Source organism: Homo sapiens, chromosome 7, assembly GCF_000001405.40.
Source record: "Homo sapiens chromosome 7, GRCh38.p14 Primary Assembly".
Classification (NCBI taxonomy): domain Eukaryota; kingdom Metazoa; phylum Chordata; class Mammalia; order Primates; family Hominidae; genus Homo; species Homo sapiens.
In genome coordinates, this window is record NC_000007.14 from 86866219 (window position 1) to 86892677 (window position 26459).

Consider the following 26459-nt stretch of genomic DNA (forward strand, 5'->3'; position numbering starts at 1 on the left):
GTCAAGGCCTGAATAATCAAACACAATTATACTATTTTAAAATGCCTGAAAATAAGTAACAGGTACACAAAAAGCCAACAGGACTGGCTTTGGAGGAAATAAAAGAGTCAGATGTTAGAAATTCTTCTTTTTCTTCTGGATGCATTTGAATCAGCAACCTAATCAAGCAATCCAAAACTCACCAGATGCTCAAAGACAATAGTGTTCACCAGTGTCTAATTCCCATATTCAAATAAGAACCTGTAATCTGGGGAGGGGAGCTTAGATTGGATAATAGATTCAACAGCACTAAATGACAAAAATGAATTCTGCTGTGACTGAAACTGGCAGGAGTGCTAGATAAGTGTGTTAAGAATGAGCATTGCTCAGGATAAAGGCTGAGGCAAGGCTGATGGGAGATAAACTCAGTCCTCTGATGGAATGTGACAGTCTGAAGAAGGCAATATCAGATGGGTTGTGCAGAGACATGGCTGATGCCTCAAACAATCAAACTGATTATGTATCTTTTCAAACAAGACAATTAGGCGTGTATATAAATCTTCAGAAAACTGTGTTTTTGAGAGGGCTGGGTTTTGATCTATGCCCACTGTATTTCATGCCCTGAAGATATAATTTCATGCATTAACTGACAGCTCTTGTCATTTTCTTTTTCCTTGCCACAAGCTTTGTTTCCAATTGGAAGTGCATCATCTAACATGTGATCTTTGGAAATATTTTTTAAAATATTCAACATATGTATGAAAAATAGCAGCTACAAAATCTTTTACATAAGCTATTTCAAGCAAATAAGTTTTTGGTTGATTTTTTGCTCCAGTAACATTTCATCAGTTCACAATATGAAACTGGTTGAGCCAGTCCATCATTGCAAAAAACTTCCTGAATTTAAGAAAGCCAAGCAAAATGATATATCCCACTCATTAAAAAAAATATCAAGGTGACATCAGGAATATGGCAGAATAGGAAGCTCCTGCTTCTCCCTCTACCCACGAATCTACAAAAAAAAAAAAAAAAAAAAAAGCATCTATTCACAGATCAATTCCCTCTGAGAGAAAGTTAGATACCAGTTGAGAGACTCCTACCCACCAGGCAACTGAGAAAACACCCACATCAAACAAGTAGGCACACTCAGACACAGAGTCTCCCCAGGCACTGAGCCATAAAATCTTGAACGGAATCCCCAACACCCAGCTTCTCCCTGTGGAGAGGAGGATTTGGACCCACATATAACACCCTAACTCTAAGAATTCCCTTGGCTTGACACTTAATTCACCAATTCTGGGAGCAGAAGGGATTAGACATAAAAGTCTCGCTAGACCACAGTGAAAAAGCATCAGTGTTACGCAAGCAGGCAAGCACTTCCAATGGCTTCATGCCCCAGGAGAGGTGCAGAAAAAGGCTTAAAAAATGTAGCCCTTTGTCTCCCTGGAAGGGACACATTCTCCCAGTGTTTAATTGGCAGCCTGACTTGTAACTAACTTGCTTCAGGGAGTTAAAGAACAAATAACGCACTGGCAGTCTGAGAAGCAGATCAGCATTTCTTAAGGTTTCCCCTCAGTTCACACCAGCAATAACTCCAGGTCTATTAATCTATCCTGGAAGGAATTTGTTCACACACCGAGCACCCCAACTTTTACAGCTTTCACCCAAGGGACTACATCCTAAACCTTCCAGCTCTGGGAGCAGAGGGGACTGGCATATATGTTTCTGTGGACCAGAGGAAAAAGGCAGTGTTTTATACAAGTATGCAAACATTTCCAGAGCCTTGGTCCCACAGGAGCAGTGCAGAGAAGGGGCTAAACTCAGCCCTGTTTCTCTCAAGAAGGAGTTTAGAGCATACTTTTCCAGTGGCTACTTGGCAGCCTGGCTTCCAACTAACTTGCATCAGGGAGTTAAGGAGGCAGATAAATATTAACCCACCACCAGCCTGAGAAGCAGATTGGCTCTTCTGGAGTCTTCTCTCCAAGTTCACCACAGTGATAACTCCAGTTCTATTAATTTTTCCTGGAAGGAGCTTGTCCATGCATTGAGTGTCCCAGCTTCTATCCAAGGTACTGCATCCTAAACATCCTACCTCTGGGAGCAGAGGGTACTAAGTATATGTGAGTCTACCTAGACCAAAGAAAAAACTGGCAATTTTATATACATGTGTAAGCACTTACAGGGGCTTCATTCCCTAGAAGCAATGCAGAGAAGGGGCTCTAAGCAGGCAGCTCTTTGTTTCTTCCTGGAAGGGGTTTATGCCTTTCACTGAGTGCCCCAGCTTTTACAGCTACCACCCAAAGGATTCCATTCTAAACCTCTTAGCTATGGAAAAAAGGGGACTAGGCATATTCAAGATTCCATAGATCACAGAATAAAGAGGTGTTTTTAAGTGAGCATGCAAATACTTCCAGGGGCTACATCTCCTTGGAGCAATGCAGAAAAGAGTGAGAACATGCAGCTTCCATTTCCTCTTCAGAAGGGGCTTATGGCACACAGTGACAGTGGCTACTTAATGGCCTGGCTTCTAATGAACTTGCACTGGGGAGTTAACAGGGAAAAAAAAAAAACAGAGTAGCCCTCAGCAACAACCAGAGCCAAAGCCTGAAACTTCATATGCCTTTCCTCTAGCTCACCCAATAATAAATCCAGGTCTACTCATTCTTCTTGGAAGGAGTTTGGTCATGCACCAAGTGCCACAACTTCTATATCCCACTCAAGTGACTGTCTCCTTAATGATCCAGCTCTAGGAGCCAATGGGGCTTTGCATTTATGAGTGGTCCTAGACCACAGAAAAGAAAATGGTCAATATACAATGGGCCTACTTTCAGCAGCTATCTCCCCAGAATCAGAGAGTGCAGCCTGAATATGAGTTCAAGCATTTGCCACAGATCCTCTCCCTGGCTTACTGCAGAAAGAGTGGGAGATAAATATCCATGCCCAGCTTCACAGTGAAGAGAGAAAAAACTAGAACATATATTCAAATTCAACACCCTAACCTTTCCAGGTACATCTAGGGAGTCTGGATTCTAACTTACTTGTCTCAGAGTACTGACAGGATATGACATATCCTAAGCTCCAGGGGCCACCAAAAACACCGATAGCAGTCTGGACAGACGCATAGATTTGAGAGGTAACTTAATATCTCTGGCTAGATGGACTGGTGAGGTACTTCTACAAGAAGCCAATCTGACACGACTTGGAGAGGTAGTTGTTTTATCTCATGTGCAGATACCAACACAGAGGGTCAAGAAAACAAAGTAAAGGTGAACATATCCTAAATAAAAAAACAAGATACATCTGAAACTGACCCAAGTGAAGTGGACGTATGTGATTTACCCACAGAGAGAATTCAAAATAATGGTCATAAAGATGCTCATTGATGACAGGAGAACAATGCAAGAACAAACTGAGAATTTCAACAAACAGAAAATATTAAAAATTACCAAACAGAAATCAGCAGAGCTGAGGAATACTACAGCTGAATTGAAAAAATTCAATAGAGGGATTCAATAGCAAAATAGATCAAGCAGAAGAAAGGATCAGCGAGAACTTGCACAATCTGAGGAGCAAAAAGAAAAAAAAAATGAAAAAGAGTGAAGATAGGTTAAGAGACTATGGGGACACCATCAAGTGTAAGAACATGCAGATTATTGGTGCACCCAAAGGAGAAGAGACAGAAAAAGGGAAAGAAAACATATTCAAAGAAATAATGGAAGAAAACTTCCCAAGCCTGGGACAACAAATAGAAATATAGATCCAGTAAGTCCAAAGGATACCAAATAAACTAATCCAAAGAAACCCACACTGAGACACATTATAATCAAAAGTTGAACACAATATATTTTAAAATAACTTAAAAAGTATAATTGGATTATTTGTGACTAAAAGGATAAATGCTTGAGGGGATGGATACCCCCATTCTCCATGATGTGCTTATTTTACATTTCATGCCTGTATCAAAACATCTCATATACCCCATAAATATATATATATATCTACTATGTACCCACAAAAATTGAAAATAAAATAAAAGTTAAAGACAAAAACAGAGTGCTGAAAGCAGCAAAGGAAAAGAGAATTGTTACATACAAGGGAAACTCCTCCAGATTATCAGGGGATTTTTTTTTTAGCACAAATCTTGCAGACTAGAAGAGAGTAGAATGATATTCAAAATGCAGGAAAAAAATTTCAAAAATACGCTACTCAGCAATCTTATCTTTCAAAAATGACAGGGTGATAAAGACTTTCTAAGACAAACAAAAGCTAAGAGTTTCTCACCATTAGAGCTGCCTTACAAGAAATGCTAATAGGAGTTCTCCCAGGTGAAGGAAGAAGATGTTAATTAGTAACATGAAAAAATATGAAAGTATAAAACTCATTGGTAAAGATACGTCCATTGTAAAATTCAAAACCCTCTAATACTGTAATAATGGTGGGTAAACAATTATATCTCTAGTATAAAAATTAAAAGGCAAAACTATTAAAAATAACTAAAGCCACAATAATTTTTTAAAGATAAAAACTTTTTAAAAATGCAATTTATGATATCAAAAGCATAAAAGTTGGTAGAAGGGGAAGTAAAAGTGTATACAATCAAATTTATACATTATCAGCTTAAAATGCACCATTATAAGATGTTTTATAAAATCCTCAGGGTAACCACAAAGCAAAAGTCTCTAATAGATAAACGAAGCCAAAAGAAAGGATCCAAAGCATACCATTATAAAAGTCCTCAAATCACAAGGGAATAAAGTAATAGAGGATGAAAGGAACAAAGAACCTACAAAACAATGAACAAAATGGTACTAGTAAGTTGTTATCTATCAGTAATTACTTTGAATGGAAATGGATTAAATTCTCCAATAAAAAGGCATAGAGTGGCTGAATGGATTAAAAAAAAAAATAAGACCCAAGTATATGCTGCCCACAAGAAATTCACTTCACCTTAAAAGAATACTCATAAATTGAAAATGAAGGAATGGAAAAAGATATTCCAAATAAATGGAAACAAAAAGAGAGCAGTGGTAGCTATACTTATTTCAGACAAAATGAACTTTAGGTTAAAAATTGGAAAAAGAGAAAAAGAAGGTCATTATATATTGATGAAGGTGTAAATTCATCAAGAGGATATAACAATTATATATGCACCCAACATCAGAGCACCTAAATATATATATATATTTTTATATATATATACTTATATATATATTTATATATATACTTGTATATATATTTATATATATATAAGTATATATATATTTTTATATATATATACTTATATATATATATATAAAGCAAGCATTAAGAGATCTAAAGGGAGACATAGATTGCAACACAATAATAGTAGGAGATGTCAATACCACACTTTCAACATCAAACAGGTAATCCAAAAAGAAAATCAATAAGGAAACATTGGACTTGAACTACACTTTAGACCAAATGGACTGAAAGACATATACAGAACACTTCATCCAACAGCAACAGAACATACATTCTTACCAAGTGCACATGGAACACTGATCTTACGGGTCATATTCTAGGCTAGATTATATATTAGGCCAAAAAACGTGTCTTGACAAAAGATACTTCAAGTATCTTTTCTGACCAAAATAGTATGGAGCTAACAATCAATAACAGGAAGAATCACAGAAATGTAACAAATATGTGGAAATTAAACAATATGCTCCTGAACAATTATTGGGTCAAAGAAGCATTTAAAAGGGAAATTAAAAAATACCTTGAGGACAAATGCAGTGGCTCATGCCTGTAATCCTAGCACTTTGGGAGGCCGAGGCAGGCAGATAGCTTGAGCTCAGGAGTTCAAGACCAGCCTGGGCAATGTGGTGAAACCCCACGTCTACAAAAAATACAAAAACAGCTGGGTGTGATGGTGTGCATCTGTGGTCCCAGCTACGTGGGAGGCTGAAGTGGAAGGATCGCTTGAGCCCAGGGGGTGGGGTTGTAGTGAGCGGAGACTGCACCACTGTACTCCAGCCTGGATGACAGAGTGAGACTCTATCTCAAAAATAATAATAGTAAAGAAATAAAAATATAACTTGAGACAAACAAATATGGAAACACAATATACCAAAACATAAGGGATGCAGCAAAAGCAGTTCTAAGAGGGAATTTTGTAACAATGAACACCTATATCAAAAAAGAAAAAAGATCTCAAATAAACAACCATGTTACACTTCAAGGAACTTAAAAACAAAACAAAACAAAACAAAACAAAAAAAGCCCTAAGCCCAAAGTTAGCAGAAGGAAGACAATAACAAACATCGAGAAGAAATAAATGAAACAGAGACTAGAAAAACAGTAGAAAAAATTTAGGAAAGCTAAACAAAACGGACAAACCCTTACTTAGGCTAAGAAAAAATAGATAAGACTCAAATAAATAAAATCAGAAATAAAAGAGGAAACCTTAAAACTGGTAACACAGAATACAACTGATCTTAAGAGGCTACTATGAACAATTAGACATGAACAAATAGAACAATCTAGAAGAAATGAATAAATTCCTGGAAATATATAACCTTCTGAGACTATATCACAAAGAAATATGAAATCCAAACAGACCAATAATGAGTAAAGAGATTGAACCAGTAATTTAAAATCTATCATCAAAGTCCAGAACCAGATGGTTTCACAACTATATTCTATCAAACATTTAAAGAATTAAGTTTGAGTTCTTTCTCAAACTCTTACAAGAAAACAGAACAAGAGGGAATATTTCCAAACTCTATACTATAAAGCCAGCATTATCCTAATACTAAAGCTGGAGAAGGACACTACAAAAAAAAAACTACAGGCCAATATGACTGATGAACACAGATGCAAAAATACTCAACAAAATACTAGCAAACTATATTCGACAATATATTAAAAAGATATTTCACTATGATCAAGTAGAATTTATCCCTGGAATGCAAGACTGGCTTAAAGTATGCAAATCAATAAATGTGATTCACTATATTAACAGAATAAAGGACAAAAACCATATGATCATCTCAACAGATGCTGGAAAAAAATTAGAGATTTAAAAAATGTTCCTCAACACAATAAAAGCCATGTATGACAAGCTCACAGCTAACATCATACTCAACAATGAAAAAGTAAAAGGCTTTTTCTTTGTGATGAGGAAAAAGACAAAGATGCCCACTCTCAACACTTCTGTTCAACATAGTACTGGAAAATGCTAGTCAGAGCAATTATGCAAAAGAAAGAAAAGGCATCTAAACAGGAAAGGATGAAGTGAAAGTATCTCTATTTGCAGACGAAATGACCTTACATATAGAAAATCCTAAAGACTCCACCAAAAAAAACTGTTAGAACTGATAAATGAATTCAGTGAAGTTGCAGGATACAAAATCAACTTACGAAAATCAGTAGTGTTTCTATATACTAATAATGAATTATCTAAAAAAGAAATTAAGAAAACAATTCTATTTACAATAGCATGAAAAATGTGAAATACTTAGGAGTAAATTTAGCCAAAGAAGTAAAGGATGTTCATACTGAAAAACTATAGAACATTGATGAAAAAAATTGAGGATGGCACAAATAAATGGAAAGATATTCTGTGTTCAAGGATTGTAAAAATATTGTTAAAATGTTCATACTATCCAATGTGATTTACAGATTTGATGCAATCCCCACTAAAATTCCAATGTCATTCTTCACAGAAATAGTAAAAAACAATTCTAAAATTTGTATGAAACCACAAAAGACTGAATATCCACAGAAATCTTGACCAAAAAGAACAAAGTTGGAGTAATCACTCTACACGATTTCAAAATATAGCACAAAGCTATAGTAATCAAAATGGCATGGTATTGGCATAAAAACAGGCACATCAACCAATGGATTAATATAGAGAGACTATTAACAGAAATAAGATCACACACCTCCAGTCTTTTACTTTTCAACAGAAGTGCCAATAACACACCATGAAGAAAGGACAGTCTCTTCAATAAATGGTGTAGGGAAACCTGGATATCCACATGCAGAAAAATGAAATTAGGTTCTTATCTCACCTCTTATACAAGAATCAACTTAAAATAGATAAAAAACATAAATTTAAGACCTGAAACTGTAAAACTACTAGAAGAAAGCATGACGGGAAAGCTCCTTGACACTGGTCTGAGCAGTGATTTCTTGGACATAATCCCAAAAATATAGGCAATGAAAGTAAAAATAGACAAATTGTATTGCATCAAATTAAAAGCTTCTCCACAGCAAAGGTAACAATTAATACAGTGAAGAGATAAACCACAGATTAGAAGCAAATATTTGCAAATTATTCATTGAATAGAGGTTAACATCCAAAATATGCAAGCAATTCAAACTACTCAAGAAGAAAATAACTCTATTACAGAATGGACAAAGGATTTGAATAGACATTTCTCAAAAGAAGACATACAAATGGACAATATACTCAATATCTCAAATTATAAGAGAAATGTAAATTAAAATCACAATGAAATATCACCTCACACCTGTTGGCTTGGCTACTAGCAAAAAGATGAAAGAGAAGTGTTGGTAAGGATGTGAAGAAAAGGGGAACTTTGGTAGTACTGTAAATTAGTATAGCCATTTTGCAAAACAGTATGGAGGGTCCTCAAAAAATGAAAATTAGAATTACCGTATAATCCAGCAGTCCCACACTGGGTATATGCCCAAAGGAAATGAAATCAGTATGTCAAAGAGATATTTGCATTTCCATGTTTATTGCAGCACTATTCACAATAGCCACAATATGTAAACAACCTAAGTGCCCATCAATGGATAAATGGATTTTTAAAATGTGATACATATGCACACACACACACACACACACACACACAAATGAAATACTATTCAGCCTGTTTTAAAAAACGGAAAATTCTATCATTTGTGACATGGATACACCTACAACATTATGTTAAGTGAAATAAGGCAAGCAAAAAGAGACAAATACCATAGATTTCACTTATATGTGAAATCTAAAATAGTCAAACTTATAGAGGCAGGGAGTAGAATGGTTGTCCCCACAGGCTAGAGTGGGGGTGAACCAGAAAGGAGAGAAATTGGTCAACAAGTAGAAAGTTTCAGTTAGATAGAAGTTCTGATGTTCTATTGCACAGAACGGTGACTACAGTATAGTTAATAATAACGTATTGTATATTTCAAAATGGGTAAAAGAGATTTTAATGATTCTCACCACCAAAAATGATAAACATTTGAGGTGATGGGTAAACTAATTGGCCTGCTTTGATCATTCCAAAATGTATACATGTATCAAAACATCACATTGTACCCCATAACTATATGCAATTGTTTTTTGTAAGTTAACAAGAAACTTAAAAAAGATCAAAACCTTACTACATGCTTGATTTTCTATGGTATTTTTGAGTATTTACAGCTTCTGAGGTGCTCCATTTTCCTGTCCAGTTTAAATATTAGATTTTCCAGCCTGCTCATGTTTATCACGGTAAAATAAAATGGTTCCTATTTTTAAACTGCGAGGCCAGCTGGCTTGTAGACCACAAATAGGAGAGATTAAGAGAGTGGTTGAGAAAGGAGGTAATTTAGCCAGTGTACCTTCACAGTCTTTGGTTCTGCGCTTTCTCTCAGCAATCCTCGCTTTATTCACCCACCCACCATGATAGCTTTGGGCCCCAGAGCTCTTTAGTCAAGCGCTGTGAGCATGGAGAAGCCAAGCAAAGTGAGGTGCCAGGAAGATGGAACACCAGCATGGATTATAACCACAGCTCTACAAAGGCAAAGCCTATGAACAAGGCAATTATCACTCCTGCTCTGTGATAGGTTTACATCTGCATAATTCCCACTGGTTTAATGCTTTTGTTTGAAAAGCAATCAAAGGTAATCTGAAATCAGTCATCTAAGATAAATATTGCCCCTCTAAGCCAAATTTACCAATATCCACACGCATCATTAATAAGATGAAGAAAACTTCAGCAAATTAAAAGCCTTACTGGGACCATTTGTTCAAGGAAATTGATCTGTTTCTTGAAGCACCAGTCACTAAAGGAATTCTAAGTGTCTTTTGCAGCTTAATCAGTCTTAAAATAGGATTGTTGGCAAATGTATAAGGATTGAGGTGTGCCCTGACTAAACAAATGCAAACAAAGAGACTGTATTCAGTGCTGGGGCTGGAAAACCTATGCTGAAGCTACTTTCATGCATCAACATTCCATACTTCCATATGGTTACTTTAAATGAATCTGCATTTAAGACTGAGTATCTCCAAATTCAGTTACTTTACCAATGAATATTATCTAAACCCCAATGAGAAAAGGCTTTTAAATAAATCTTGCTAATTTACTTTTAACCAATTCACTGGCTTTAATTTTATCCTTTGCAACTCAGGAGAGTATCTGGCTTTGTATTGGGTAAGTGATTAAATCATCAAGTGCACGTGATGAGTTATTTTCTTTTTGAACAACTCTGAAGACTTGACAAACTTTTTAGGTGCTAAGCTTCTAAAGGGAAAAGAACCTGTGTGCAAACAGATTCTTCTGAATAGTCTGTGGTAGATTACAGTGATCTAAACCAGGGGTCAACAAACTATAACCATTAGGCCAAATCCTAGCCCATCACCTGTTTTTGTAAGACCTGAGAGCTAAGAAGGCTTTTACATTTTTAAATAGTTAGAAAGACATCAAAAGATTTCATGACACATGAAATTTAACTGAAACTCAAATTTCAGTGTCCATAAATAAAGTTTTATTGGAATGCAGCCACGCCCATCCATTTACATTTTGTATGTGGTTGCTTTCATACTACAATGGCAGAGTTGAGTAAATGCAATAGAGCCCACATGCCCTGCAAAGCCAAAACTATGTACTATCTGACCCTTTACAAAAAAAATGTTTGCTGGGCTCTGATCTAGACAAGTGTAATCATAATAGCGAATAATATCAATTATAATAGTAAATATAATTCTCTTTTCAATTATTCATTCCCATCTTAAAGTTTTACTTCTTTCATTTATGATTCTAAAAGGAACTCATGTAAAAATGTTAAAATAAAAGTAAAATCCAGCAAGAGAATAATCTGTAGCCAGTTAGTATGAAGATGAATTCCATTTTAGCTTCCAACGAATGAGTCGGGTGTTGAGATTTCTAAAAGTTTACTCCTCTAAGGACATTTTCTTTGGGCAAACTCAGTTTAGGAGTTGGGCCTGTCAACTGCAATCATATTCATGATTACTATAAATAGATATGAGGGAGGTTTAGTTTCTCTGAAGATCAACTCTACATACTCTTAGTGTACAAAGATAAACGTGAGCAGTACACTCACTTTAAACATGGCTAATGAAGTCATCCTCTCACAGCAACCCCCAGAGAAATTTATTTCTATGAGGAAGAGAGAAATTATGTACACATTAGCCTCCCATTAGAAATAACCATGTGCCACAGGAAGTAGTTCTATTGACAGACATCAAGTGAGAGTTGGCAAGATGGGTCTTGAAGAAGCAGTCAATCATGACCCACCTGGGGACCTGGAGACCCCAGATGCTAAAGACTGGACCCAAGTAATTCTTCCACATAATCAATTTAAACAACCTTTTTTCTTTGGGAAGAAAATAAGGACAGACATCTACACAAAAATACTATGAAATATTTTTAATCCTAGAAAGGATGTGATTACTAGTAACTAAAGAGGGGAAAAGTCAACAATAATGAAATTCAGGTTTTTTAATTCAGTGAACACATATCAAAATGCTCAATGTTGTTAAATGACATAATATAATTTATCCACAGAAGACATGTTCTCATCCATTGGAAAATTGATTTAAATACGTTTTGACGAGTGCTAAGAGATGTTATAGGCAACAGTTGACTTAATGAAGTAGTTAAGGCTTCAAAATTGTGCCTTTTAGAAAAATAACAAATAACTTCTTCTACCACTTAGGGGGGAAAAGGAACAAGTGTCAATCAAAAGTCACAGAAACATGATTAATTTATTCCTTTCAACATTTCACTGAGCTTTGCAAAGGCCAGGCATAAAACTAAAGGAAATTTTATAGCCAGGATTGGTCTAAATATTTTCCCCATAATATTCTTTCTGTCATACTTCTTCAGTGCTTGAAATAAAATGACAAACCACTGGAATCCAAGGGAAAAAATCACCTCCTTCCCAAAGATGGGACTGTGCTGACAAAATATATTTAATATCTAAAATTAGAAATAAAATAAATTCTCCAATATCAACTACATTTTCGGAGAGTTCATTAAAATTTAAGGCATTTTTGACATGTCAGAGATTTTAGTCCAGTGACAGGAGAAGAAAGAAGCTACCTGGGAGAAAATCCCAATTATCTCTATGGCTTGGAACATACATATTGAACACAGTGGAAGATGAGGAGAAAGGTGACAGGTGGCTGTGGAAGTTTTCTCACTCTGTCCAGTCTATACAGCTTTGCCAGGGTTCCTCTGAAAGGGTTCATTTCAAATGTATTTTCACTCTTCTGTTTAAATTTTGATCAAAATGCAGACATGCTCATAAGCACTCTGTTGGCAGGATAAAAATGAAGAATGCCAACATAATGTCTTCTTTATAAGAACATTCAAGAAATTAAATGCAAAAAAAGGTTTATGCAAAGTGACTCCCTCCCTGAATCCCAGAGCAAACAATGACAACCTCACCTATACTCATATGTGCAACAGCAGAGATATACACAAAACATTCATTCAATAATAACAGAATGGTCTAGTGTATTACCAATCAGCCAAATAAACACAATTATTCATTTTTCTCCCATTTTCCACAAAAATAAAGACACCACCTTCAGACACAAAAGTTACAAGTCATACTTCATTGGAATGCTTGGGGCAAATCATTTCCCTACATATATGCCCTGCCTCTCTCAGCCAATCACAACTATTTTTTTAAATCTGCATTAAGGTCTATAAAGATTACTGTTTATTGGAAACAAATAAGAGCACCTTAGATCAGCAATGGCCAGGAAACCCCCCTCTTTCCCAGTTTTAAATCAATTAAGGTTTACACGAAATTGGTCAAATCCAACTTCATTCATACTTCCTTCAACAAATAATATCCAAGTCGTGCTAATACCAGTAGCCCACCATAGAAAATATCACAATTATCTGGATCACTTTTGAATAAGAACAATAATTCTTTCATAACTGCTTATGAAATAACCACATTCTTATTATGAATACAATTATATGTAATTTTTCAAAACTGAATTCCTGCCTTATTGGATTATTTTTTTAAAAAGTTTCTGAGAAAGTCAACATCCTCAAAGTCTTGCAGCAGAAAAATAACCATATAACCTCTGGTGCTTGACAAAGAACAAAAGTCCCACTGACATTTTCTGGAGACCATGAAATTACCCCAGTATTTCATACAGTCATCTGTACTTATAGACAAACCTTCTCACTCTCTTCTTCATGATTTTGCCAGTGATTTGATTGACAAGCTTTCCTATTTACTTTAATTATACTTCTAGCACTACATAAACTGTTTTAAGTCATTTGACTTCTATGATACTAGCAGCTAGTTTGCATTAATGGAGAATTAGGGCTTCTCGTTACCTTTCTTACTTTTTTGTTTTTTAGATTCCTTCAAACTTTCAGTCAAGCCCTTCTTACCAGCTCCAACGAGGATGGAATTTCAAAGGCAATTATAAATCTAGATAACCCAAGCACATGCTAACTCTTCCTGAAATTTAAATCAAGAGAAGATAACCTATGGAAAAATGAAAAATTTATTGTCTTCATTGCTCACCATTTTTTAGTAGAAAAGCTGTTTTAAGGTCAGGAAAATAAATAATGGGAAAAATATACCTTAAAAAAATTTTAATTTTCCCCAAAATATAAACAAAGAAAAAACATAAATTGGATCATAATGCATATGCTCACATGTGCCTTCCAAATCACACTTGTTATGTAGACATCATAAAGAATAAAAGTTACCCATTAATTATATGGCATGCATCAGCAGTGCATTGGTGGGCTTAAACTTGGTTTTCAGTTATGTGTATATACAGATAAATCTCTTCCTGAGTTGAGCTTCATCTTCAGTTGAGACCCAAATCATTTGCTTTCCTTTATTTGGCAAGGTACTTGACCATGTGATAAGGCAATCAAATGTTTCAATCTCCTTCCCTTTTCAGCGGCATGGCCCTCCTCTGTGAGATCACCAATGTGACAGGTATGAGGACAGACCCTAAAATATGGTCCTGTAAAACTAGAGCAGGTTTCTTTGTTCATTAGTCTCAAGGCTACAGCACTGTCTCTTCATATATTTGGGGATCTTGAGGTTTTCAGTTGAACAGATTCAAAATGGTCTTCTTTTTCCTAAGAAAAAATATTAAAGACAAAATCAACTCACTGAAATTCTCGTAAGATTTTAGGATCTTACATGTCCAGAAGGAAAGTTCCAGAAATCATTTTAACCTATCTAGTTGCCACTTGTGATTAGGATTTTACAGTTAAAATTGGGTGGCAGATATAAAACAAGTAGCATGCCTACCCTGAAGGGCACTTTTGATGTCCAAGAGATAAGACAGACAAATTCAAAATAGAAGCAAACCCATGATTGCAATAGATACCAAAAGACATAGCTGTGATCCCTGCAAAGAAACCACTGAGACCCTTCCTGGGGACATACCTGACCTGAGTGCTGAAATCAATGACCTAGCCATGCTAATTGTGGGCAAAACAGAACTGACTAAATATTTTCAGGATAATATAGGCAGAATAATAAGAAAAAGGACAGCAGAAATAAATAAGGAGAATGCCAACAAGACATTAGATCAGTTGAGTTCACTAATATGTTTTAGGAAAATCTTTTAGGTATATGCCTATTAAAGATATTAAACAAGTCATCTTTGATAATAGGTCAAAATTTTCACTCAAATGTATCATTGCTGGCATTATATAAAACATTCAAAATGTAGACTATTAAAATAAATTAGTTTTCTTTAATGAGGAAAGGAGAAAGAGGAGATGGGATTTCTTCCAACCTTTTATTGTATTTTTGAGACAGGGTCTCTCTCTGTCACCTAAGCTGGAGTACAGTGGTGTAATCTCAGCTCACTGTCACCTCTGCCTCCCAGGCTCAAGTAATCCTCCCACCTCAGCCTCCCGAGTAGCTGGGACCTCAGATGCGAGCAAGCACGCCCTTTTTTTTTTTTTTTTGAGTCAGAGTTTCGCTCTTGTTGCCCAGGCTGGAGTACAATGGTGCAATCTTGGCTCACTGCAACCTCTGCCTCCTGGGTTCAACCAATTATCCTGCCTCACCCTCCTGAGTAGCTGGGATTATAGACACCTGCCACCACGCCCAGATAATTTTTTGTATTTTTAATAGAGACGGGGTTTCACTATGTTGGCCAGGCTGGTCTCGAACTCCTGTCCTCGTGATCCGCCCACCTCGGCCTCCCAAAGTGCTGGGATTACAGGCATGAGCCACTGCGCCCGACCACCTAATTTTTATATTTCTTTGTAGAGACAACATTTTGCCATGTTGCCCAGGCTTCTTCCAACATTTTAATTGTTAGAGAAAGCTTTCTGAAGGCTGCTGGAATGGGATAGGGAGACTATGCTAATAAAGAGAATAAAAATGAAGAGAACTATGACTATTTTTTAAAATAAATGAAATAGGAGGCCAATCAGTCTCACATGCAAATAGATGTATGTCTAAAGTAGAATAGTGACATGAGAAGATAATAGGAAGTCGACATTGAGTAGCTGTCAGGAAGGGTAAGTTTGCTTTTGTGTTTGCTTTCATTGGGGTGGATAAATCCAAGAGCTTTAGGGCTACAGGGACAGGATTATAGAAAAACATCATAGCATACACACAAACATATCAGTTTTTCCCTGCCTCTGCTGAGCTGACAAGCCTCTGGAAGAGCAGACTGTAGATCTTCTCAGTGCTCCTGCTGACTGGCTCTGTGAGAACTGGCCTGAGGTCTCATGTTTAACAGCCTTAACAATTTTTTAGAATAACCATTAGCAGTTGAAATATTTGTTAAGCACCGTCTCTGTTGCAGGACCATGACTAGACTTTAGGGATACAAAAATGAGTACAGCAAGATGTCTTCCCTCAAGGAGTTCATAGGATATTAAAGGAAAGAGCTCTAGGGTATCAGCCATAAACTCAAAAGAAAACATGAGATTTCTGCAGCCTTTGCTTGAGAAAATTTGATTCAACATGGTGTTGTGGTGAGGGAAGGCAGAGACCTGTTGGTTATCTTCAAGGTAATATTTAAAGTAAAACACTGAAAATCCTTTATAAAATCATGTTGAGATAATAGGGCTTTAATAGCCCTGTCCTCTGCATTTGCATGGGATTGTGCTCCTATTGCTGAAATGGTGGGATATACACACATACACATGTGTATATAATTAGGTAGGTAGTGCCACTAACTGACTGGGACTTCCTAATGGCAGGAACTCTATATCTCATTCATTGTTTAATTCCTAAGATATGACCCAAGTCCTACCACTTGGTAGGTTGTCAATCAATGGTTATAAAAATCTATTGAAATACCACATTGGAGAAGGAAAAACACTGGATTGGAACTTGGGAGACATGACTTCTAATTCCTATCTAACCCCTTTGGACAAATAAGTGAACCTCGCGAGGTCTCAATTTACTCATGTATTAGACAAGGGTTCCAAACAGGATGATCTTTTTCAGCTCTAAACCCAAGAATCTTCTCCAAAGCCAACTTCCCCCAGAAGGTTTTCCTCACCTTGTCACTATCTTCCCTACTGCACTCCCTTCTCCCCAATGCTGCAAGACACCCTACTCTTGTTCTTGACATACTGGATGATCGTTTGAAAGGGGTGTGTGTGTGTGTGTGTGTGTGTGTGTGTGTGTGTGTGAAAGACATGTGTCCTCCCCTAATATTCTAGTTGGTGTCTGAGTTGAGAAATTGTGTCTAATTTGACGTAACACCCAAATTTGGCAAAGTGTCTTACAATGTCCCATAAATGGTAGTGAAATAAATAAAAGAAACACATAAAAATTGATTTAGTTTTAATTGCTGAGAAAAGTCAAGAATAATAAATCTATACATAAACCCGAGAATTGCAGTGCAGTGCTAGGGAAATATCAAATAAGGTATGGCCTTTAGAACATAAATGAGCATATCTAAGATAAAGCAAACCCTATATGACATAATAGTTAATGAACATAAACATTTTTTGCTCTCTGAAATCATGTATAACAAACTTCTTAAAAATAGACACACAATAAGATATGTGCAACGATATTTATAGTAGCTTTATTCATTGTCAAACACTGGAAATAGCACAGGTATCAATCAACAGACTGGATAAACAAATGTTGGTATATCTACACAATAGAATACTACTCTGGAATACAAAGGAATCTACTTCTGTTAACACGAGGCGAATGAATCTCAAAAATATCTTTCTGAGTAAAGTAAAATGTACACAAAATACTACAGATACTGTGTGATTACATTTATATGAAGTTCTATAACAGATAACACTAACCTATGGTTTAAAAAGATCATTACAGTAGTTTCCTTTGGGAGATGTGGGATTGACTGCATGTAAAAATACATGTTACTCTCAGGGGTGAACTAGTGTTCTATATCTTGATAGGAATTGGGGGTTATAGATGTATATTCATTTCTCAAAATTCATTAAATTGTATATTTGTAATGTGTGCCTTTCACTTAAAACAAACTTAAGTATTGAATTATCATCAATGATAAGTTCCCTGAAGTGTTTTGGGGTGAAGTGTATTGAAGTCTGCAATTTACTTTGAAACCGAACAACAGAAAAGAATATGGGTTGATGAAAGGATGGAGGGACGGATATGTAATAATACAAATATAATAAAATTTGTATGGTGGGCATATGACTATACCACTGTATGATTCTTTCAACTTTTCTGTACTATTTCAAAATTTCATTTTTAAAGTAAAAAAATCATTACGCTAACTAAAATTGCTATTCAAAACAAAATTCACTACCCTGAATCTTCTCAGGGAAGAAAACTTTTTTATACTCTAATTGGAGAGGTGACTGCTTGTTGAGTACTGACTGGGAAATGGGTTAAAGAATTCACAGTTCACCTGCCTCAACAGTGCCCTGGATGCTTTAATTATCCTCTAGCCCGAAAGACTTCCTCATTCACCAGGCAATCAGCCTTAGGTATGCCCCATGGTAAGAACTACAGTTGACCTTTGAACACCACAAGTTTGAACTGCACAGGCCTACTTATAGGCAGATTTTACAAAACTGAACCCGGATTGAAAATACAGCATTGGTGGGAGGTGAAAGCCACCTAAATAGAGAGCTGACTTTTCACATAGGCTGGCTCTGCAGAGCTGACTGCAGGATTTAAGTATGCTTGAATTTTGGTATACTCAGGGGCCCTGGAACCAATCCTGTATGACCGTACAGCTAAAATTCATCCTGGTAGGCAAAGGAGGTTTCACCCTCTTTTAGATAAAAATTACAGAGACATGCATCATCTACAAGGAGTACTAAAAGGGAAAAATGGAAATCATTTATGGGAAGAAACCTGAGAGATTACGAAAATTTTGACTGACTCACTTTAGAGATAATTTGGCAGGACTCAATGACTGTTTGGTAAGCAATTCAGAATGACAAGCAGGTGGGCCATTTTTGGGCTCAACACCTCTTGCAATCTATCATGCAAATTTTAGATATATTCATAGATGACAGTAAAAAGGTCCCAGAGATTTTGAAGTGGGTCCTGACTACAATACAGAGAGCTTTCCCTGAGACTGATTCCCATAGGAAAACTTAGTGAAGCATTGACTCATATTTGGACTCTTATTGTCGCAGATTGGGTTTACAACGCGGAAGAAGTTCACTAGAGAATGAGAAACTGATCCAAAGGACTCTAGATAAATTAGTATGGTCAGGTCTACCTGGAAATTTCCCCTACTTTTATGTTAAAACCAGGAATTACATTAAACATTATTAACAATAGCAAGAAATACTCTGGATTAAGATAGATTCTTTAAACATGTCTCCAATATGCAAGTCAAGTACAAATCAACAAAAGGACATAAAACCTGCAGCCTCAGAGAAAAAGCAATATGAAAGTGGCCTCTAAGTTAAGGGGTCCCCAAAGCTCAAATAAATGATGTCAGTAAACAGAACCTTGCTGTTCAACATAGGCCTTTGGGTAGACCAAAAACATTGAAAGCATTGGAAGTTGGTTGGATCATTAGCAGCTGATATGCTGGTCAAAAATAAAAGTGAATGCAAACATCTTGTCTACTGTCAAAGATTCTCTCTCTCTTCAGTCTTAATGCCTCCCTCCCAAACTACCCCAACTTCAGCTGCTTCAAGAAAAAAGATAATTAGAAAGGGGACTAAAGTTTTCCTGTTACCAAGAGGGACTGGACAATACACACCCATCTGAATCTGCTAGGAAAACCTGGAGAGGGTTTCTTAAACATTTACCACTCTGTTGGTTGCAGGCACTCAAGTCACCATCATACCTACTCTCCTGTGGGAAAAGAGGAGCATACAAATAAGAGGATTTGAGCAAGGTTTAGAGTAGAAAAGGGAAAATAATGTGATCTTTGGAGGGATTCTATGTGTCCATTCAAGATAGTGTTGTTGTTGCTTCTACATCTGAATATACAGTAGAACTTGATGTTATATGCTTGTACTTCCCCATCTCATACATGCTAAAGGAGATCCCTTAACCAAGAACAGCTACATGTAGAGAAGGGCCAGTAGGCAGTAGGATACCCCAGGAGTTTCCAACTGCCATTTGCAACAAATGGTGAGTCAGGGTTTCACACAAGTTCCTTTACCTTCTGATGCCCAAAACAGTCACTATATAAATTAGGTCCTTTTGGTGTCAAGTCAGAAGTCTCCATATCAACAGCCCTGATTGAGTTATGACACTTCTACTTACAGAGGTGGTTGATAAACCCCCAAAACATTCAGGGACCTGCTACCTAAGTAAAGTTCATTGGAACTATGTAAGCAGATTTACAGTGCTAAATCTACCCAGCAGTTAAGGAAAAACAGCCCAGCACTTTACTTGACTCTGCTATTGGGACAGTGTTGGACCGCATTTGAGTATTCTACTTGTTCTTTTATATCAGCTAGCCTACAAAATAGTATCCTTTGAATTGGACCCAAACTAACAGGCTATGTTAAAAGCTGTCCAGAAAGCTGGGGCACACTCTTTACCTTTATGGCCTCACAATCATAATGACAACTTTGTGATACAATTCTCTATAACTAATGATTTTGCCAATTGGAGACTCTGGCAAGAGGAGACAGAGGTACCCTTTGAGGTTTTAGACTCATTACCTCTTGATATGGCTACCAGCTATAGCCATTAGTTGGTCACTGAACTAGTCAAAACTAAATTTCATTCCCATGCCCCAGATCTTGTGACTCTACAGCTTGATAGTCCCATTTATGGTCGCTCAACAAGGTAGAAAAGGCTGAATAAGCCTCACTTGTCAAATACGAATGGCATATATTCAAGAATGCAGTTGGTCTTGCCCCAGTGGCATGTAGGCCTCACATAAAAATGTGGCAGCATACCCTTTGGGGGAAACTTTATCCCCTACTCCACGGCTCAAAACAAAACCACTGACTCAATAGGACCCTCGATTTATCGAGGTTCTACTACATGTTGGGCCTGGTTCACTGATGATTTGGTTGAGCTGAAGCCCAGTGGTATCCACTGGCTGCTACAGATATTCAATCATCTATGAATAACTGAAAACCAACAAGATTGCTCAGCTCAGTGGACAGAACTCAAAGGCATTATCAAGACCTACACATTACCTCCCTTGATAAACTTCATTATATTTTTCTGACTTACTGACTCAAGCTATTGCCAATGGCTGGCTGTTTTGTCTGCCACTTGGAAAATTAAAGACTGGCATTTCAAGGTTACCCTTTTTGGATACCACTAAAATAGATCTTAGTTTTGGATTAAAATATGTGTCACTCATGTAGATGCCCAGGTAAGGATCCTTCTTATGAAAGATGAAATTGAATCAAGCTCCTGATAGAGACTAGACAAGACAGACTGTCACAAATGGTGCATGGGTCCATCATCTCCCCCAACATGGCAAAGCATCTGCCATCATAGACTGGGCACAAGGGCACATATTTTTCTTATGCAGAGGTTACTGCAGATGCCAGACTTGGGACTCATGCCAAAAGTTGACCAGTTCTTCCTGGGCAAATTGATTACAAAATACCTTTGACCACCTCTTTGGGCTACTGGTGATGCCTCACCACTATTTACAACTGTTCAGGGTATGGTGTTGCTATTCCAGTCTGATCAGCTAACTCTACCCATACATTGTGAACCTTGAAACAAATCAGTATAAAGTTGGTAGCTTTAAAGACCATTTGCTGTCTGACAATAGGACACTTTTTATCACAAAAGCTACCCATAAATTAGTTGAGAGTAGAGGTATTCAGCGGACCTTCTACATTTCCTACTGTCCAAAAGCATATGGTACTATTGAGCATTGTAAGACCTTCTCAGAAAGTGACTCAAAAAGATTTCTGACTCTATCTCCCTCACCTCCTCCTGATCCACACATCTTAATACAGCAGTTTGGTCATCAAATATGGCTGCCCATGGAAAGGGATCATCTCCTTTTGGCCACTTCACAGATAATGATCAGGAAGAACACACATACACATACATACACACAGACAGACACACATATACACCACTACATAAGGTTATTTACACTTATCTGAACATCCTGGATTCTGCCTCACCAATCTAGGGCATGATGTGTTATTTACTCCAACAGTAACCTCAGGCTTCCTGGGTACAACTTCTAGTGATAGCCCACCCAGAAGGGGATCTAGGAAATTCAAATATAATTCTGGTTTAACCACCTGTATTGTTGCTTTGTTGGCTGTCATGATTATAGATAAGAGAGATAATGACCACCTGATGAGTGCACTGCCCCCCAAGTCCCCCTATCATGGCCCACATGGACAAAGCGGGGGTACACACTGAGTCTCTATATGTTTCTATAAAATGCCTTTATCCCTCTTGCACATGAATGTTCTGGATAGATATGGGTAGAAATAAGGTGAAATTATAGTTACTGAAATGAGACAAGCTGGTTTTTTAGCACTGGAAAGAGACAACAACACAGTCTGATAATGGAGGAGACAGCTTAGACCCTGAGAAGTATGGGGAAATAAGGGACATTAAGAATCATATGATTTTTTAGGGTCACCCTGTCACCTTCCTATGAAGAAAAATGCTCTGATGTGGCTCTCTCAAATCATGGCAAAGGCCTTTAATTTAACTAACTGCTGGGTCTGCCATACCCACCACATGCTCTCATCACAATTCATTTGCCATTCCCCTTAAACTAACTGAGAAATTTATCCAAAAGAGCAGGAAATGGCCTCAGCCCCTGCCCCAGAGTAACACCAACATCTCATTTCCATAGCCATTATTTAGTCATTTCATGAGGTGAACAAAAGTCACTAGTTTGCAGTGTGGACAAACAGGGAGAGTTGAGCTGACTTCCCTCAAGCAGTCTCCCTGAAGACAAAAAGGAGACATCATTATATGAGGTGAATTGGAAACCCTAAGGCTTACTAGCCAGCAAAGAAGCCACTTACAGGAACAGTCAACCTGTGCTGCCTGCACAATGTAGGTCCCACTTCATGTACCCCACAACTGTGAATAACACTTTCTTTGCAGAGGCACCATGTGTACCTCCAGGACTGCACTTCTTGTGTAGAAGTCAGACACTAACTTGCTTCCTCACTAAAAACATGATAACTTACACCTTAGGAGTAGTCATAAGAGATCTTCAACTGTTTAGGAAAATACCCCTACTGTTATGGATGTTAGAAAAGGTGGTATAAAATTTGCCTTTGACCTTAGCTTGAAGTAATCAATTACACCACCTCAGCCATCAAAGGCATTCAGGTCAACATCAACTCACTGTCCATACATTGTTATTCACAATATAATTACCCTATACTTTCTCTTTGAGAACCAAGACAAAGTCTGTGCAATCACTAATATATCCTGTAGTACCTGGATTAATGTATCTGGATTGTCTTGTTGGATTGCCATGACCCTAGATCAAAAGGATAGTAACCACTTGATTGAGTTTACTGCTCACCAAGTGTGTGACAAAAATCAGAGATACAGTACCCCCCACCCTATTCCCAGGGGATACATTCCAACTCCCCCCCAGCTCCAGTGGATGCCTGAAACCAAGTATAGTATCAAACCCTATAATACTGGTTTTGTTTTTTTTTTCAATCTGATAATCAAAATGACTACTAAGTAACTAACAAGCAGGTAGTGTATATGGCAAAGATATGCTAGATAAAGGGATGATTTACTTCCGGGGGGGACAAGGCAGTACAGTAGGAGATTTCGTCACACTATTCAGAGGAGCACACAATTTAAAACTTGTTGTTTACTTCTGGAATTTTCCATGTAATGTTTGCAGACCACAGTTGACGGTGGGTAACTAAAACCACAAAAAGTAAGACCATGAAAAGTGAAACTGCAAATAAGGGAGGACTTCTGTATATTGGGTTTCTGTTAAGATTTTGAAAATTTCCTTGTCCCCTTTTTGTCCAAATCTTATGGAGGAAATATCTGAGTGCCAGTGGAAAGGTCAACACAAGAAAGCTATCTAGCTTTCTAAGGTAAACCCTGATGGTTCATAGCATTTGTTCAGCTAGTTGAGTCTGGGACCCTGAGGGTAGGGTTGAGGTTAACAATACAGATTGGCCTCATCTTGGTGAGATGACTTCTGCTTGGTGTCCTATTGGTAGTAGCTTTATTTAAATGCTGTATAAAGCAAATTGATCAAATTTGATCCCAGCTTCAGTCAGTCATATTAATCAGAATGGTGCATGGAGTGGGGAAATAAAGGGAAAATTCATCAGAAACCAACATGGTATAAAAATGAGGTTTGGATGTTGTTGGAGACAATTCTCCATGGTTCTCTTTCATTTCTGTACATCTTAAAAGTGAGAAACTGATTACCCTTTGTTCTAGACTATCTTTTCAAGAATCTTTGTATAGAAAATTTCCTTGGAATATAAAGATATATTGTCTCCTTCCTGAGCAAAGGGTAGGCTTGCTTACAGTCTTGGAAATAGTGTCTCCCAGAAGCAATGGACAGGTATGCTACCTGTCCAAAACAATAAAGATAATAGCCCCCTTTGAGGCAAAGGATGGGCATGTTTACTGTTCATTATGAACATTCAGGTTCCTAAGGCCTAGCATCCCTTTCCTGTAATGCAACCAAGTGATATCATTTCCTCTGCAAATAGCGCTGTGGGAACACAGCCTTGTGGGCTACCTGTGGCTTTGGGAGCTGGTATAAAGGTTATTACTCTGCTAGCACTACTCTATGAATACGAAACTGTCCTTCATCTCTGACATGACTCTCATGTCTTCTAAACTGTCCATGAAACTGTAGCAGACTCACTTGTTAGCTTGCAAGTAGGGTAAAGATCTCCGATCTTAATAATCACTATTTTTTTGTTATTTTATGGCAATAGTACCCTCCTTACATCTTCATATTAATAAAAGGAAAAATTAACCATTAGTAGAAGGGAAAGACGGTTTATTCATTTTTACTCTTAAATAATTCCCTATATTTATGTGCCTAAATTAGGAGAGTACAAGGAAATGGTTACTATTACTCTTTATAAATGTAAATTTTGTCTCTTGTCTATCCTGTTATAAATCATTTGAAAGTCATCTTCTTTCTTCTATTTCATTCTTTTTTAATCTTAAGTAAGCTGATAATTTCTCATCTTTTAAGTCAATGGTGAAAAATATCAAATAAAATGTCTTTTCAAACAATGTATGGTTTCATGTTATGTTTGGATATGGTAGTTGTTCCAAAATCCAAAGCCAGCAATATTTTACCTCACATACCTCAATAATTTATATAACTTTTGTTTGCTCTATGTAAAACAATCTTGTCATAAAAAAGGAACAGTATGAATGAATGTAATATCTTTTATTAGCCCCCACTTTTATATTATAAAATAGTATCTTTGTGAAAATTCCAATATCACAAAAATGTATTGCTTTCAAAGACTAAACACTCTCATTAGTTCACTATTCCCAAAAGGCAGCCACTGTTAACAGTTTGCTATGCAAATACAAACATAAATGTATATTTAATATAAATACAATAGTCCATTTGTTTTCACTCTATCTTGGACCTATTGATTTATCAGTACACATAGCTATCTCAATCTTTAACAGCTGCAGAGTTGCATAGTATTCTATCACTTTGACAGATGAAAATATCTAACTCCTTACTGATGATGTTTGACAACCAACGAAAACAATGCTGCAGTGAATATTATTGTATCTATATCATGTGCTTCTAAGAGTATTTCTGTTGGATAAATACCCACTGAGATATAAACATGCAAAATAACAGCTTGCGTGAATGCTATTATTAGGTTAATATGCCCTCTACTTTATAAACACCCAGTAACACCAGGTTAAAATTCTACTCTCACCTTGGTTGCCAAAGATTTGAGTTTTCCTAGTAGTGACTGTTTATTGGAATATACAACTTCCTCTTCATTATCTTCTCCTTCCATGATAGCACAACTGTCTGCAGCCGGGAGTTCACACTCTTTTGAGTTAGTCGTCATTACTAACTTGGAATATTTGTATTCCAGTCTAAATAGTGATAAAATAAATAAACAAATAAGTATCCATTTATGTTAATATAAATAAATACTTATTTTAGGTGGTAATATACCAGCTCATTAAATTGACTTGGAGTATAATTGCTCCACCAACAAATTTCCCTAGCCTATAGCCATAGCAATATGTGTGTTATCATGTATCTACCATTTACAAAGAAATATTTCCCAGGATGTCAGAAATCAGTTCAATAGAGTTAATTCTACCACTTTACATTGAATTGTCCAATAATGAAAAAATTGGGGGGCAGGGACTTTTAGGCCTGAATGCATTTTCTTAACATGAATATTTGGAAGCCAATTCACTAAGGTTTTCCCAGTATTTAGTTCGTAAAGATGAGAATATCAAACAGGCAAGTAATTTGGTCTTTATCATCTCTCTATATTATTTATTCCTTTATACTATCACCCCAGATATTGCAATTGTCCCTAGATATTACAATATAGGAGTTCCACAGTCCCACTGAGGTGTAAATCATTCTAAAAGATTCAAGTCCTATAAGAGATCAAAATACATTCAGGAATTAGGCTCAATATTCAATTCCAGATACTTGAAGACCTGGAGTAAATAAATGTGATATTTGCCTATACACTAGGTCTGGTTTTTTTTGCAAATGTCTTCCCACAAGAAATTTTAAAAGAAAAGGTGAAGGAAGAAGACAGCATTATATCATTTTTAAAAAAGGCAGACACTGAGAGAATACCTGCCTTCCAAATCTCAGCTCTGCTATCATCTACCTGAATAACATGGAGCCTCTTGTT

The 26459-nt window shown here is 36.8% G+C and overlaps 1 protein-coding gene across 11 annotated transcripts in view; it reads right to left on the reverse strand.

Moving 5' to 3' along the window:
- Nucleotides 1–10687: 10687 nt before the first annotated feature.
- Nucleotides 10688–26459, reverse strand: part of ELAPOR2 (endosome-lysosome associated apoptosis and autophagy regulator family member 2) — a 182749-nt gene continuing 166977 nt past the window's right edge. For 9 of the 11 annotated variants that reach the window (XM_011515918.3, XM_011515921.2, NM_001142749.3 and 6 more), the window contains 2 exons: nucleotides 25506–25671; nucleotides 10688–14312 (listed from right to left, as the gene is read on the reverse strand). In XM_011515918.3, the coding sequence (XP_011514220.1) occupies nucleotides 14253–14312; nucleotides 25506–25671 (226 nt within the window). In that variant the 3' untranslated portion in view covers nucleotides 10688–14252. Of the gene's footprint in view, nucleotides 14313–16981; nucleotides 25672–26459 lie in introns of those variants that run through there. The other 2 variants (XM_017011843.2, XM_047420041.1) reach the window with 2 other exon arrangements.